Source organism: Homo sapiens, chromosome 4, assembly GCF_000001405.40.
Source record: "Homo sapiens chromosome 4, GRCh38.p14 Primary Assembly".
In the NCBI taxonomy this organism is placed as follows: domain Eukaryota; kingdom Metazoa; phylum Chordata; class Mammalia; order Primates; family Hominidae; genus Homo; species Homo sapiens.
In genome coordinates, this window is record NC_000004.12 from 110,535,141 (window position 1) to 110,552,760 (window position 17,620).

At 36.9% G+C, this 17,620-nt stretch overlaps 1 protein-coding gene across 7 annotated transcripts in view; it reads left to right on the plus strand.

Moving 5' to 3' along the window:
- ENPEP (glutamyl aminopeptidase) overlaps positions 1–17,620 on the plus strand; it is an 89,131-nt gene that overhangs the window by 58,986 nt on the left and 12,525 nt on the right. For 5 of the 7 annotated variants that reach the window (NR_166842.1, NM_001977.4, NM_001379611.1 and 2 more), the window contains 6 exons: positions 7,611–7,747; positions 7,875–7,930; positions 13,036–13,186; positions 14,206–14,279; positions 14,388–14,492; positions 14,576–14,746. Coding sequence is in view for 5 of the 7 variants with exons in the window: in NM_001977.4 (NP_001968.3) it covers positions 7,611–7,747; positions 7,875–7,930; positions 13,036–13,186; positions 14,206–14,279; positions 14,388–14,492; positions 14,576–14,746 (694 nt within the window). In the remaining 2 variants the exon portion in view is untranslated. Of the gene's footprint in view, positions 1–7,610; positions 7,748–7,874; positions 7,931–10,155; positions 10,202–13,035; positions 13,187–14,205; positions 14,280–14,387; positions 14,493–14,575; positions 14,747–17,620 lie in introns of all 7 variants that reach the window. The other 2 variants (NR_166844.1, NM_001379613.1) reach the window with 2 other exon arrangements.

Genomic DNA, 17,620 nt, shown 5'->3' on the forward strand with positions numbered 1-17,620 from the left:
AATCTTGCTAAAACATAATATTTTAAAAGAGACATTTCTAAGTGCATAGGATCTGGGCTGGGTCTAAGTTCTAGGAGGTGGTGCGGACTCTACAATAGCTGTTTTTGCAACTCTTACTTCCAGATTTGAGGGTGTCCTCTGGATGGTTTGGACTATCCAGACTGTCCAGTCAGTTTCTATAGAAATAGATTTACTAAACATCTGTGATAATTATACATAAATATTTAATACCAAAATAATGATGGGCATGTATTTTTGTATTTGATGACAAAGAGGGAAGCACTTTCTTCATTTTTTCAAGCTAAGCCTCATGGAATGTGCAAGCTTTGATTGGATGATTATGGGTTCAGTTTTGCTGGTTTAGAAACTCAATTTGTCAGTTCAGCCCTAGTCAACCAAGTCTTGGAAGATCTACTTATCTAAACCAAACATACAAGAGATTAACTAAGAATGCTAACTTGTTAATTTACACAGTTAAAATATACTAGTTAGTGAATCTGAATACTCATGTCACCTAATTAGGTATCTCTTTCCAGGAAGCAAGTTACTTAGTAAGAATTAAAGGGCTGGGCGCGGTGGCTCACGCCTGTAATCCCAACACTTTGGGAGGCCAAGGCAGGTGGATCGCCTGAGGTCGGGAGTTCGAGACCAGCCTGACCAACATAGAGAAACACCGTCTCTACTGAAAAAATACAAAGTTAGCCAGGCATAGCCATCAACACTGAGGCAAGACCCTCTATCAGTAAAAAAGATTACAACTGGCTGAAGGCTCAGATGATTGTTAGCATTTTTAGTAATAAATTATTTTAGTTAACATATATACTTTTTTATACATAGCTGCCTGTAATGCCAGCTACTCGGGAGGCTGAAGCAGGAGAATTGCTTGAACCCGGGAGGCGGAGGTTGTAGTGAGCCGAGATTGCACCATTGCACTCCAACTTGGGCAACAAGAGTGAAACTCTGTCTCAAAAAAAAAAAAAAAAAAAAAAAAAAGAATTAAGGAAGAGTTAAGGTAGATTAATTATTTTACAGATGTCTTTAAATTGTGATAGTGTGATATATTGCATTAGCCAGGTGAGTCTAATTATTGCACTTTAGAAACAATCAATAGTGGTTTGGTGCAATAAAAGTTTCTTGTTCATGCAACAGTCTAAAGGAGATATTCCTGACTGTCATCTTTCCTAGGTGGCTCTCCACCAAATAATGACTTGGAAATCCTGTCTTCTTCCTTCTTATGGCTTTACCATCCCCTGCATCTTGGAATCCCTCACTGGTTCTTTTGCATCTAGCTCAAAGACAGGGGAAGATAATGAAGGAATCAGGCCTAGAAGTGCATCTATTACTTCTGCCCACATTTTATAGCCAGTTCTCAAATCATGTCCTGCAAGGAAGGCTAACATAGTCCAATTCTGTACCCAGGAAGAAAAGGGAACTGTGTGGTAAACAACTAGTAGGTCTCTGTCACATACACTGTTTTCTGTAGGACCAGACCTGTCAAATAGCCTGAAACACATGTTCCAGCTCAATTTGGCACCTACTTCCATGGGCACACTGGAGACACATTGACAGATCTTCACTACCCAACTCTCCTTTGCAGTTATTTTTTTTCAACTACCAAAATTATTGCTAATTGTAATCTTTCCTCATGATAATTGGGTTGCATTTTTCCAGTTTCCTATTCATTGCATGTTACATATTAAAGCCACAGGCATACCTGAGAGATACTGCAGTTTTGGTGCCAAGCCACGCAATAAAGCAAATATCACAATTAAGTGAGTCCATGAGTTTTTTGGTTTCCCAGTGCATATACAAGTGATGTTTACACTATACTGCAGTCTACTAAGTGTGCAATTGCCTTATGTGTAAAAAAGTATATATGTTAACTAAAATAATTTATTGCTAAAAATGCTAACAATCATCTAAGTCTTCAGCGAGTTGTAATCTTTTTTACTGATAAAGGGTCTTGCCTCAGTGTTGATGGCTGCTAGCTAATTAGGGTGGTGGTTGCTAAAGACTTGGGTGGCTGTGGCAATTTCTTAAAATAAGACAACACTGAAGTTTGGTGCATTAATTGACCCTTCCTTTCACAAAAGGTTTCTTTGAAGCATGCGATGCTGTTTAATAGAATTTTACCCACAGTAGAACTTCTCCAAAACCCTGGTGCTGCTTTCTCAATTAAGTTTATGGAATATTTTTAATCCTTTTTTGTCATTTCAAGATGCTCACAGCATCTTCACCAGGAGTAGATTCCATCTCAAGAAACCGCTTTCTTTGCTCACCCATAAGAAGCAACTCCTCACCTATTCAAGTTTTATCATGAGATAGCAACAATTCAGATACATCTTCAGGGTTCACTTCTAATTCTAGCTCTCTTGCTATTTTCACCACTCTGCAGTTACATCCTCCATATAGGTCTTGAACACCTCAAAGTCATTCCTGACGGTTGCAATCAATTTCTTCCAAACTCCTGTTAATGTTGATATTTTGACCTCCTCTTATGAATCATGAATGTTCTTAATGGCTTCTAGAATGGTGAATGCTTTCCAGAAGGTTTCTAATGTACCTTGTCCAGATCCATCAAAGGAATCATTATCTATGACAGCTATCACCTTACAAAATGTATTTCTTAAATAACAAGACTTGAAAGTCATTCCTTGATCCATGGGCTTCAGAATAGATACTGTGTTAGCAGCTGTGAAAACATTAATCTGCTTGTACATTTCCATAAGAGCTCATGGATGACCAGGCACACTGTCAATAAGCAGTACTATTTTGAAAGGAATCTTTTTTGGTGAGCAGCAGGTCTCAACAATGGGCATAAAATATTCAGTAAACCATTCTATTAACAGACGTGCCGTCACCCAGGCTTTGTTGTTCCATTTATAGAGCACATGCAGAGTAGATTTAGCATAATTCTTAAGGGCCTTAGGATTTTTGGAATGGTAAATGAGTATTGGCTTTAATTTAAAGTTACCAGCTGCATCCACCCCTAATGAGAGAGTCAACCTGTCCTTTGAAGATTTAAAGCCAGGCATTGACTTCTCTCTAGCTGTGAAAGTCCTTGATGGCATCTTCTTCTAATATAAAGCTGTTTCATCTACACTGAAAATGTTTTTTAGTGTAGCTGCCTTCAAAAATGATCTTAGTTAGATCTTCTTATTAACTTGCTTTAACTTCTATATCAACACTTGCTGCTTCACCTTGAACTTTTATGTTTGGAGATGGCTTCTTTCCTTAAACCTCAAGAACCAACCTTTGCTAGCTTCCAGCTTTTCTTCTGTAGCTTCCTCACCTCTCTCAGGCTTCACAGAATTGAAGAGAGTTAGGGTCCTTCTCTGGATTAGGCTTTGGATTAAGGGAATGTTGTGGTTAGTTTGGCCATCTATCCGGAGAGCTAGAACTTTCTCCATATCAGCAATACAGATGTTTCTCTTTCTTATCATTCATGTGTTCACTGGAGTAGGACTTTTAATTTCCTTCAAGGACTTTTTCTTTATGTTTAGAACTTGGCTAACTGTGTGGTACAAGAGGCCTGGCTTTCAGCCTGTCTCAGCTTTTGACATACTTACCTTACTAAGCTTAATCATTTCTATATTTTAATTTAAAGTGAGAGATGTTTAACTCTTACTTTCATCTGAACACTTGAGGCCATTGAAGAATGATTGATTGGGCTAATATCGATATGGCTGTGTCTAAAAGAATAGGGAGTCCCAAGGGGAAGGAGAGAGAAAGAGAGAGAGAGAGAGAGAAAGAGAAAGATAAAAAGAGAGACAGGGGAATGGCCAGCTGGTGGAGCAGTCATAACACACACAACACTTACCGATTAAGTTCTCACCTATATGGGTGTGGTTCGTGGCTCCCCAAAACAATTGCAATAGTAAAATCAAAAATCTCTGATCACAGATCACCCTAACAGATATAATAATAATGAAAAAGTTTGAAATATTGCAAGAATGATCAAAATGTAACCTAGAGACATGAAGTGAGCACATGTTGTTCGAAAAATGGTGCTGATAGACTGGCTTTGCTACAAACCTTCAATTTGTAAAAAATGCAGTATCTGCAAAGTGCAATAAAGTGACTTCTCTCTAGCGCAATAAAGTAAGGTATGCTTGTACACCTTTCTTTACAGGCAGATTCTCTAGGCCACTTGCTGAGATTTAGAATGGACCCTGTAATTATTACTAAAACAATGACTAATACTTTCTTGAATGGGTAATTTGTTGAAAGCATTACCATAAATGGATAACCAATCCATTTTATTATGGATCATGTTAGCTTTAGTTTCAGAAATTAAAATTTTCTTCTATGACCCCAAAGTCTAATAATGCATTCTACTTGAAACTTTTAGCTCTTCAAATATATTTTGCATGTCATTAGTTAAAAAGCATTACTCGTGTCTTTCAGTTGTTTTTTTTGCTTTCTTAAATAAATTGAGATGGGGGTCTTGCTATGTTGACCAGGCTGGTCTCAAACTGGTCTCAAGCAGTCCTCCTATCTTGGCCTCCCAAAGTGCTGGGATTACAAGTGTGAGTCACCGTGCCCGGCCTCAGCTCTTTTACTATCAAATGATACACAAAATTTAATAAGAGGTAAACTCTGTAATTTTACATTGAAAAATAATTCACTTAAAGGATTAGTGCAACACAGCATTCATATCATCACCTAAGAAAAATGTTTTTTTCTCTAGGAATCTCAGGCTATCATAAGCTGTCTACTTGTCTAAAATTTTTTATAATTATTTATAATAGATAGTAACATTAAAGAACTGTTACCTGTGCTCTGTTACTGAAATCTATCAGGGTTGAAATTAAAGAGGCTCTCGATGAAATTTTGAAAAGGTAATTATCGCTTTTCTCTATCATCTAGGCAAATAATAAAAGAAAAAAGTAAGAATTTTCTAGAAAGAGCTCCTACTCAGAAATAACTCATTCAATACTTTTTGGCATAGATAGAACTAATAAGAAACAGAATAAAACAATTTTTAAGTTGATACAGCATGATATGTCCATTAAACTTAGATTTCCAAATATATAAAATGAAATTGCAAGGTGTTTAAAATATAATTTCAAATGAAAAAGGATTGCTAATCATAAAAACAGTAGGGTCCCATTATATTTGTTGTGTGTTTGTGCATGTGTGCATATAGAAGATACACACACACACACAACAGGTAAAAAACATGTTAACTGTGGTGGGTAATTTTTATATTCTTCTTTATACTTTTTTGCATTTTCCAAGTGCTCCATAAAGAATACATACTATTGTTATAATCAGAAAAAAAATAGTAAATGGAGTAACAGAAGGAAACATACAGTATATTAGTCCTGTATTTTAATCTTACTAGAGTATTTTAGTTCTACTCATTATGTAACTAAACAACTGAACAGTATTTTGCTATTGACAACTGTTCCAAAAGTAGCATGAACTTGGAAAGTCCTTAACTACTGACTTCCTGGATCTCAGCTTCCTCATCTATAAAGTGAGAAAAATCACAGTAACTCTAGACAGGCTTAACTAGGTACATATAAAGCACACTAAAATATGGCAGTATTTAGATGGATTGCCAGGAACTTCTCAACGTTATTTATATTTGCTTCGCTATTTATAGAACTGGCAGCATATCCCCTTTCATTATAATGGGGATAGCTACCATCTGTTGGATACGTAGCACATAACTATGTGACCAACACTTTACCTATGTTATCTTATTTAATCTTCACAACAGCCCTGTGAGGGATTTTTGTCCCTGTCTTCCTTGGGGTGAACTGGGACACAGAGGGGTCAAGTGATCTGGCCAAGGTCACACAGCTAGTAAGTCACAGAGCAAGGTTTTTATCCTAGGTCTGTGAGACTCAAAAGTTCATGCTCTTTCTCCTGTAACATATGGCTTTATGCTTAGCAAGAAACTCTCCTTCTGATACAAACATTCAAAATGTACAGATGCCAAAAGATTAGCTTCCTTTCAACAACTTGTCCATGGGAGGATGACAAAGAAAGAGAAATTCTACATGAGTGAGGTAAGGGTTTATAATTTATCAATTACCTACTCCGAAAGTTCCTAAAGAAACTTATTGTCTTGTTGGAGAGGTTACTCATATATTATGAAAAACTACTGTGTCCTGGATATCTTCCAGACCTTGCAAACACTTCCAAAATTTAAATCATATTTCCTCCCAAACTGACTCACCTTCCTCTATTCTCTACTGGCAGCACCATTATTCATCCAGTTGTGCAATCCATTTTCCCCTCCTCTGACTGTCCACATCAAGTCAGAAAAAGGATTTTATTGATTTTACCTGTGATAAGTCTCTTGAATGCATCAACTTCTTTCTAGTTTCATCATCTCCACATTAGTGTAAGCCCTCATCCTCTATTGCCCTACATGACTACAGTGGACTCTAAATTAGTCTTCTTGTCGCTAGAATCGCCTCCAAAATATCTCCCATACCACTATTGAAATCTTTCCAGAAAATAGACTTGAGCATGCTATTTTTCTGCTTAAAACTCTTTTCCCCTCTCATAAGATGGATTCTTAACATGGCATGTGGCTCTTCATACTGGAGGCCAGGCTTTTATTTCCAGCATCATCTCCTATTTTTCAATATCACAACCTACATTGTTGGTACCTTAAAATATTTGAAACTTCTCAACTATACTATGTTCCTATACCATTATTTAAATTGTATATTGTTCATGTAAACAAAAGAGTGTATGATGTATGAACTGAAAAATATAGGAGTAACGCTAACGAACATGGTTATATCAAAGCATAGCTATTATTTTAAGTACATATCTTTTACCTAAAACATAAGTCTCTGCTCCTTCAGCCTTGGGCTTCTAAAATCTATACAATAGAGCCTCACATATATATGGATGTTGTTTTAGAAAGAATGCTAATTTGATAAATCCATTGATGGAAAAGTATTGTTGTAACCAACTGAAATAGGAAGTAGACGGCTTTACAAAGATAAATAAATTGGAAGAACAAGTGTGAAGTCGATTACAAAATCAAGAACGTTTCATTCAGATCTCAATTCTATTGCAGGTCTTCTTGATACAGTAACATTTTAAAAGTGTTGCTGATTATCAATGTATTATCCTGCTTAGTGATAGCCATTTCCATCAACTTCAATGTTGATTTTAATAAACAAAGTATTATTTTGAGTATTTACATTTGTATCCCCTCCCCAGGCTGCCCTGGTGAATATTGTTTGTGTAATCAATCCATTATGATTAGGGATCTATGGACTACCCCTGAAGGCATGGACTTCTCTGTCTCGAGGCACTGTTTTCTTTTATTGATGGATTGACCAGCACGAAATTATTTCGCCCATTTGACAAGCTTCTGCCAGTAAAAACTATCCATCATAAATTACAGTATAATTATTTATATTACTTATTTCTTTTTTAGCTCACTCATTATAGTGGTATTCTAAAGTTAGACAACTAAGTAAAAATTAGGCTTTGGGTTTTGGATCCAAATCAAACCTGCCTCCTTGAGCTAATATTTCTTTTCTTTTATTTTCTTTTTGCCCTCTGGGTCTAATTTCTCTGTGTTGACAGTGCATGCAAACATGTTGCTCATTAGTGTTTATTTACTACTACAGGAATCACTTTGAACTCCTCTAATCCTAGTGGAAATGCTTTTCTCAAAATAAACCCAGATCATATTGGGTTTTATCGTGTAAATTATGAAGTAGCAACTTGGGACTCGATAGCTACAGCGCTCTCCTTGAACCACAAGGTAAGAGATAGCAATGGTTGGAAACTTTTATTTTTGTTCTAAGAACAGCATCTTAATGATATTAATTTTTTTCAACATGCTTTGCCTTAAGAATTGTGTTTTTATCTCTCTTTCTCCCTCTTCCCAGACATTTTCTTCAGCAGATCGTGCAAGTCTTATTGATGATGCTTTTGCCTTGGCAAGGTGCGTTTTAGAATGAGACTAAATTACTTAAAATACTGTGGGTTTTCTCATAAATCTTTTAAAAATGAATTAAACATTGCAGTATTAATCAATTTTAGCTTAAAATATCCAAAGCCACTATTTAAAACATTATTGTTTTCCTTAACTCTCTTTTCAAAAGTTCACATGAGCCTAATAGTCAAAATACTGACATTAGCCCTTAAGGTATACACAAAAACAAACCTAACTTATTGACTTTGAGTATGGTTTGTCTATATCAGGATCCTTGAGCTAATTAGAAGTGACATTTGCAAATGATCAAAAATGTACCTTCATAATTTGATTTAATATAAAGACAAACAATGTATTTTATTAATTCAGTTCTGTGAGCCCGAGCCCAGTGTAAGATTTTATGGCTAGAATTGTCAAATCTTGTTCAGGTCACTGGGGTAAGAAGAATGAGCTATGGTGCTTTAGAACTGATCAGAATTAGGGGACCATTTGGAAAATTTGACTCTTTTTCTCATAGTCTGAAGGTAACCTGCTCTTTAGAAAAAGTGTAGATTGGAAGAACTAAGTAGTATCCATGGTACCTCTATTTTTTTTTTAATTCACATAGTCTAACACCAGTAATTTAACAAGCATTTATTGAGTTCCTGGCACTTTGCAGAAGCTGAGGACACAGCCAATTTTATTTCTCTGGCTTTGTAGTCGCCTCATTCTAGATATGAGCAATGTGCTAAGAATGAGGAGCCACTTCCCTCAGTAGCCTCCCATGGCCTCTTTCTCTGGGTTGGGTATCCTTCTTATGGGACCCTATATTTCCTCATAATATTTTATTGTTATTGTTTATTAATTGTGCATTTCACCCATCAAACTGAAGGTTCATGAGGGTAGGCACCCAAACCCAGCTCCTGACTGTACGTTGCCAATAACAGTTGATAATAAATACTGACTAAATAGAGAGGTGGAAGAATAGTATAGTAGTACTAAAGGCATGGGGAAACTATTTTACACAGAGTTCCTAGATAGTATATTAAAAGTCAGAAAACCTTGACATATTTCAAGGAAGGAATTATGGGGTTCGAAAACAGGCTCTTGAACCCCATTAAAATCCTGGTTCCATATAGTCTTAAGTAAGTCTCTTAACTTCTCTCTGGCTCAATTTTCTTATCACCAAGGTAGAGATGACCTTATAAGACTTCTGTGAGGAATAAATGAGATAATGGACATAAAACACTTAAAAGATTATCTGGCATGTAGAAACTCAATACATTGTATTACATGACCAAAATGCATCCACCGTTAATTAGTAGTGAAGATGCGTTTAGAAGAGCTCTTCTGAATTTGTAATCTACACTCGTTTTGTAGCTAATAGAAAATATGATGTTCTAGTGAATCTCCAAGTTTAACCTCCTGGATATGTAATAGATTATTTTCACTATATTACAGTATACCACTCACTCATTTAATAAATAAACATTGGCGACTTACTATGTGCCAGGCACTGTGTAGAATAGAATCTGGGAAATTAAATGATGAAATAAGATGATCAATAAGTATTTTTAAACAGAATCATTTAGTTTTTATTTTTAAATTGTCCTGTTCCAAAGCTCAGCTTCTTCACTGTTAGAAATTACAAAGAACTGTACTATCTCTACAGTTTAATTTGCACCACAATGTAGGAGGTCCTTTCTATTCCAAGATGAAGTGAAAGAAAGCCTCTTGAACAGCTCTCTCTGAGGAACTGAGTATAAAGCAAATAACTTACACTACTGAAAGACTTGCTCACATTTGCTCAGCTCCTTGGCCACAGCCCCATAAAATTGTGAAGAGCTGTGGAGAGGAAGAAAATGAAACAAATTTGAAATTCAAAACATATGTAGGATCACACAAGAGAGCTAGAAAATACCTGTGCTATCACCTGGCTCAATGAGGTTCTGCAGCACATGAGGAAAATGGGACTCGGAGAGAAACAGATTCAACGAGCATTGGTTAGAGCCAAGAGGGCAGCTTCAAAGACCACATAAGCTAAGACCATTATGAAACTTTGGTGGAGGGGGTGGAAGAGAGAAGAAATGCGTAGTTAAATAGGTGAGCAACTGTGGCAGGATTAGAATTTAAACAAGTCTACTGAGGTATTCAAAGGAATGTAGTAACCATTATATTTAATAATCAGAACTAAATGATACATCTGAAAATAAATGAATTTTTTATTCCCCTGTCTCTTCCAACTTGATGTGAAGAGGTAGTACTCCTACTGCCCTGGCTGGGCATATGACTCTTTTCAAGGTAAGAAATTTACCCATCACCACTAGTTCATCCAAACCCTCTCAATTCCATAATTTTCTCAGTCAAGTAAAATCATCAAAGCTTTCTACTTCATTTAAAGCTTCTCCCTGCCCCCAGCTTAGGCCAGGTTCAGGCCAGTCACCTGCAATGGGAATGGGGTGATTGATTTCCTCTTCGTTTCTCTGCTTGGAACTTCTATGTCTCCCGAGTCACCGTGCTGCCTCTGGTTTCTCCAAAGTTAAGGCAAAGAGAACAGGGTGGGAGAGTAGGTGAGAGGGAGAAAAATCCTGATGTGCTGCCTACTTTTGGTCCTCTCTGAACTTTGTTGATGTTTAATGCTGATTTTTTTCCTTGTGTTGTGTTTTTATGGGATTTTTGTTACCCATATCCATTCCATTGAGAAGGATCTTTCTCCTGCAGTTTCCTTGAGGTGGGCAGGTGGACACTTCTGACCCACTTCTGGTCCATAGGAGGTTGTCATGTATGCTTTGTCCTGACAATATTTGGAAGAACAGGCCACCCCATGCAGTCCCATCTCTTCACTCTGAGGCCAGAGCAGCAGCCAAATAGCCTCTCATCTTTTAGATTTCTCAGGGTGTCAGACACCAAGCCACGGTGCCTCCAAGTTCCAGGAGACACAGGTAAACCTCTTCAAGTGGTCCCACTGAAACCTCTCTCCTGAGTCTTAATTAGACAGAAAAACATCTGGTGCCCTAGCCCTTGGAGGGGAGAGCATTTACAGTGTACTCAGTATACTGACAGCACTCTTTGAAAGGCCTCCACTAAAATGTCTCACCTTAGTTTCTCCAACCTCTTTTATAGGCTGGTGGTGGGCTATCAGCAAAGAGCCACACAGTCTTGTTCTTGACCATGTTAGTCCTGCTTTGGGGTCCTGCGTCTTTCTTTGGAGCATTGGAGCATAGGACTTAGTCTTGGGGCCTTGCCAAAACAGACACAGAAATAATTCTTCCCCCCACCCCGCCCCCTGCTTGCTACAATAGTTTTTGTTGTTTTTTGTTTTCTGTTTGCAATTACTTTATATTGTCCTCTTCAGCCCACTTCTTGCTACAGCCAGGAGAGGGTGGGTAATAACATAAGGGAAAGCAGAGTATGCTGGCTGACAAGGCTGCGTGGGGGCAGGAGTCACTAGGTAAGGGACGAATGGCAAAGAGAACAGCTGAAAGGACCACCTAAGCTAATGATCTAAGCAGAATTTCAGCCAGGTTTCAAGGACCACTGGCTCCAAGGATATGCAAGGTAATGGCCACGTTAGCAAATAAGAACCAGCAGGTGAACATCAGTCAAGCCAAAATCATGGACCTTAGATACAAACATTTTTGTAAGTGTTTGCAGAGATGACCAGAGAACAACACAGAACTCTATAAGCAACTTTTCCCATCCTCTCATGGACTTCCCTTAAAGGAAGTGAGAAGATGGGGAATGGGAAAAGAATCCAAAGGTGATTTAGTTAATTGCAAAATGACTGTTTTAAGCCAGAAACCTGAATTTAATTGGCAAGTTCAGTTGAGTGACTAGACAGCTGGGAACTTTATGCCCTTCACACCACCTGAAAAACTAGCCAAAGAACCCAAGCACATGGGGTCAGTTTTACTCCCCCAGGTACCTCTCAACAATTTTTATTGTCCCTTTAGGGAGCCATGTTTGACAAGACACTATACTTAACTACTTAACTCAGGCTTCTCTAAGCAGGACTGTGCAGTCTTTCCAAATTACACTCAGGAAAACAAAAAACAAACCTTCTGCTGTAAGAGTCCCCCAACCTTCCTAGGTGCCTTAGCTCAATATAGAAGAGCAAGAATGCTCTCATATGACCTTTGTCCTCTTCTTCATTTTATTTGGTGGAAATTTTAAGCTATAGCTTCCAACCTCTCTACACTATAGAATATAGTAAACTTCTATAATTTAAGTCCCCCAGGCTGGGCTCTCACTATATAAACAGAATATTTTTGAACAAAGAAAATTCTCAATCAAGTCTGGCCTTCAGAATTGCTGTTTGTCTATGGACTTAAATGGAGTTTGAGACCCAAAGTTGAGTAAGAATGCTAGCAGTCTTGAGTTGAGTTCCCTAGACGTAGAGTCAGAAATAGAGGTTCTTGTACTAGTGGTTTCTTGAGAGAGTAATTTCATGAGACAGGGAATACAAAAAACAGGACAGGGAAGTGGGGAAAGCTGAGCTGATTTCAAAAGGTTCTAAAATTCTTTTGAAAGGGGAAGAAAGTGGATTCTTTAACCTTTAAAATATCAACAGTGTCTTCAAATTTTCTAGAAGAGAAAAATTTACTTTTTTAATGAATATTACTGGGAAATGTATAAGAAGATGTTATAAAGGACAATAAAAGTTCAATTTGAATGTTTTAAGCATTCAGGATTAATAAGAACTGTTACTTATATTTCTTCTTCATAAGCAAATGTAAATAATTTCAACAAAATACATTTATAGTAGTGCCTTTATGTGTTAAAATCCACTTGGGAACCTAAAATTTAAAAGTTTCTATTTGTCAATATTAACTGTACAGCTAAATGGCTTTTGTTTTATTTGAAATTTTGCTGTTGTGCTTTTTCAAATGTACATCTTAATGCCTTTCTTCCTCCTTACTATTGAATGTATGAAAGCCCTACTGTATAATTTCGGACAAAACTTTTTGATTGGGCTTCAACCAATAAATGCAATTTCTTGATTGTTGAATGGAAGAATCCTCATTAACATGGAATGCTTTGATCGCCAAAACTTTCAGTTAAATGGAAACTAAAGTCTGTGGTTTTTAATTAACTGTGAGTTTTTTTTTTTTTTTTTTTTTTTTTGTCTTTCTCAGAGCTCAACTTCTAGATTATAAGGTGGCTTTGAACTTGACCAAGTATCTCAAAAGGGAAGAGAATTTTTTACCATGGCAGAGAGTAATTTCAGCTGTAACCTACATCATTAGCATGTTTGAAGATGATAAAGAGCTATATCCTATGATTGAGGTGACGTTAATGCTATGGTATCTTATGAAAGTAAATGTTTAGCCATTAGTAGAATAGGATGCTTTCTGAGAGAAGGAGCTCTTGGGGACCTAAACCATGTTTGCTTGCCAGGTGGAATCAAAAGAAAGTGCAATGACTTGACTAATCAAAGCAAAGCTATGCCGTCTATTCTTTTTCAATTTGAAGTACATCAGAATTTGTTGTTCTGCATACATACCACTTAGGTGCATTTTAGTGTTAGAAGAAATACAACAATTAATATTTTACTTAAAATATACAACATTTTAAACAATAAATACTAATTAGATCTTTTTTAAAATGGACTTTATCTATGTTAAAGTGAATTATTCTTCTAAAATATAATATTATATCTTCTTATTCTTACTGCTGGTATTTCCACATTGAGATTTTATCATATGTAGTCATTCTAAATACCGTTTCTTTGCTTTGTGATTTCTGTAGCACGTAAGTAGGACACTTGTAATTTTAGACAAATTCTGGATTCAAATCTCTAGCTCTTCTATTTACAAAATGAAAGATCTTGAACAAATGATTTAACATTTGTGAGTCTTAATTTCCTTTGTACATTAGGAATGCCAGCACTTGCCTGCTTACGGTAATGGGATTGTGAGGATCAAATAATATGAAAGTGCTTTGTAAAACCTAAAGCAATATCAGTTATTTTTATTATTTCATATATGCTTAAACAATCTTAGTGCAGAAAGTAGGTTGAGTGTTTTCCTATTTATTACATATGTTAACTAAGAAATAGGGGTTAAAAGGGCCTTACCCAAAGTTTTATAAAACATTACAGGAAGGTCCGGGATGGTTTATATTTTCAGGATTGAAAAAAATTGCAATGTGATAAAAATTAAATACATTGTTTTTCTAAGGACAAGCGCAAAGTTCTCTGAATTAGTAGGAAAACAGATTATAACAGGGGCTGCTGAGTATAATAATTGGGATACTACTGATATGTAGTAAATTGTTACTTATTGTACATAATACTTTTATTTCAGGAATACTTCCAAGGTCAAGTGAAGCCTATTGCAGATTCTCTGGGATGGAATGATGCTGGAGACCATGTCACAAAGTTATTCTCACTTTTTAACAACTAAAATTCATTTAACATTTGTTTTTTGTTTTAAGACTTGTTGAAAAGTGCTTAAGGCCCTGGATTTGTGTTTGTTTGTTTTTTAAGGTTACTCCGTTCCTCCGTGTTAGGGTTTGCGTGCAAGATGGGAGACAGAGAAGCCTTGAACAATGCTTCCTCGTTATTTGAGCAGTGGCTAAATGGGACTGTAAGGTGATTACTCACATTGTTATGCTTAGAAGACACATTTGAGAAAAGAGTAGTTGAAATCTCTGAAACACTGTTTCTTCTTCTAGCCTTCCCGTAAATCTCAGGCTTCTGGTGTATCGGTATGGGATGCAGAACTCTGGCAATGAGATTTCATGGAACTACACTCTTGAGCAATACCAGAAAACTTCATTAGCTCAAGAAAAAGAAAAACTGCTGTATGGATTAGCATCAGTGAAGAACGTTACTCTTTTGTCAAGGTAAGTTGGGCTTTTATTTCACATATATAAATAGTATTTAATAGTTTATGTGTCACAGTCTCTTTAAGAGTCTGATTAAAGTATGATGTTTTGTTTCCAAAAAAATCCATTAAAAGTTATTTTCCCTGCAAGAAACAAAATATCCATGTAAGACTGGCCTAAACAATAAGGAAATGTAATCTCATATGAACACATTCTGGAGGTAGGTAGCTTCCAGTTGTGTGCAGCGGCTCAACATTTTCACCCAGGACCCAGGCTCTTCTCTTTCTGATTTTCAATGATCGACATGTTGGATGTCTCATGACTTCCAGAGCTTGAAACATTTTGTTTTTACACAAACATGTGTAATGGAGGTAGGACAGGAGCAAAAGAGTTTCCTGACAAGGCTCTGTCTCTTATGCCAACAGGACAATTGTCTCCAATTCTCCTCATAATCCAGAACTGGGTCACCCTTCATCATTGTGAGTCACACTCTGGGTCTGCTACTTGATCCTTTGCTCACTAGGGTGAACTTGAATTCCTTTGGCTGATTTGAGCCAATTAGAATTATCTGGGACTGGGGTAGAAGTCTGTTTTACCTAAGATCAAGGATATCTAATGGTATCAGAGCAAAACTGGGCTCTGTGAGTAGAGAAAGAGGAGTGTCTGCCGCAAATGCATTTACACTTTACTCAGAAGGCACAAAGCTCATCTATGACTCATTTCCCACTCTGCATTTATACTTGAAATCAACAGGCTTCTTCCTTAATTCATTTTTTGCTTAGTTATAGTGTCTGAGTTATTTACTTCATTTATTTAACCAACACTTATGGTGTCCTTTCTATGTATAGATATATAGATTGTGGAAATAAAAATGAATAAAACATGAATAAAAATGACATCTATCCTTGAGATACTTACAGCTTCATGGGAGAGGCAGAATGTAAACAGTAAATTACAATGCAATACCAATTTAAAAGGACGACCAGAAGCAGTTTGCTTTTACCAGGTAGAGCCAATAATATACCTTCAGCCTCTTTCCTCAGGGCTATATATTAATTCTCCTGCTCTCTGCCATGACAGTTCATCAAGAACTCGATCATCTTGGCTGGGCACAGTGGCTCATGCCTATAATCCCAGCACTTTGGGAGGCCGAGGCAGGAGGTTTTCTTGAGCCCAGGAGTTCAAGACCAACCTGGGCAACATAGTGAGACCTCGTATCTATTTAAAAAAAAAAAAAAAAAAAGAACTTGATCATTTTCACATTTCACAAAACATCACTAATTCATTACTTTGATGGCATTGTGCTGATTGTATCTGGTAAGAAAATTAGCAAGAACTTTAGATGCCTTAGTAAGAACCTTGTGAACTAGGGGATGAAATAAATTCAGGATCCCACGACTTTAGTGCAATTTCTGGAAGTTCAATAGTTTAAAGCATATCACAACATTCCCTCCAAAGGAAAAGAAATTTGTTGCACCTTGACTGACATGCCACAGAAAAAGATTATTTTAGTGGACTTAGTAAACTTTTTTTAAATTTTGGAAGCAACATATCTCACATTTGAGTGTGTTACTTTAACCATTTACAGAGTCTTCCAGTTTCAAATAATGACTGGAGTAAAAGAAGATTCTGCAGCAAGTCCAGGCTGCAGTACGAGCTTCCTTGGAATCCCTTTCTTATTTGAAACATGTGATTGATATGTTGTATTTTCATAAAAGTAGATTTACCCACACAACTGCAAGTGCAAAGAAAATGTAGGACCTTGATTTTCTATCTGATTATTCCCAAGAGTTCTCACACTGCTGAGTGATGAGCCAGTGAGAGGGAGAACAACTGATGTTGACTATCTTTGTCTGCCAGTCTAGTTTTTAAATGAGTTGTTAAACTAGAATTCTCATTGAAATAGTCTCTTGGAGTAAATGTTCAGTCTTCTAGAGTTCCTTCCCTTCCTCATGGTCCTTCTGCACAGGGAGACATGCCACCCTTGTGGTGATGGAGAAAGAGACCTCTGATTTTTGCTGCTTTGGCCTTAAGGTGTTTACCTATTTTGGTCTGGGACAGAGTCTGCTGAGTTTTCATTGATCATATTTTACCTTCTGGTGCACTATCTGTCATCCAGAGATGAAAGCAGTGGTCCCAGTCACTTGCTTCTGTTCATGAAGTACCTGTGCTGTATGTATGGTATTTTTGTTTTCCCATCAGGTCTTCCAGTGTCCCTGCCTCTTATTGCTAGGCTGAAGAAACTGATAGCTTCCCATAAACAGGACCCACAAGTCGAAGGAACCAGGATCATTACCTTAAACTCAGTCATATATTCACCTCACCTTGCCTACGATGTACTGTCACTCTCCCATGCCATTTTGGCATAGCACAAAAGTACATGCTGAACTATAGACCTGTTCTTAAGGGGTTGTGTTTTCCAGTTTCACATGTGGCATGGACTTTATTTAAGCTTGAGTTTTCTCCAGTCTCATTTAGGGTAAATTTCTACTTCAAGTATGCTAAGGGTCTTGATATATTAATAAAAGCATACATAATTTAGAAATACCTTTTCTGTTTGACAAAGGCTGACTCTCAAAGGCTCACAACTCAAGTTGAACAGTGATCCCTTTGTTGTAGTTATTATCTCAATATCTTCCTAAAGATATAAATGAATTAAGCCAATGGGTAGGATGCCATGGGGCAGCAAGACTTGAGTAACATGAAAATACATCTAATCTATCAGTAGTAGACATCTATTTTTGAGGTTCCCTTGTCACAGTGAACAAAATGTGTGCTGACCTTTTTTGGAAACACTTTTTCAATACAATATACACTTGTAAGATCTTGGGCTAGAAACGCTACTCTAGGTATAGCCATGGCATACAATTAAACCTATCCATTTAGTCATTT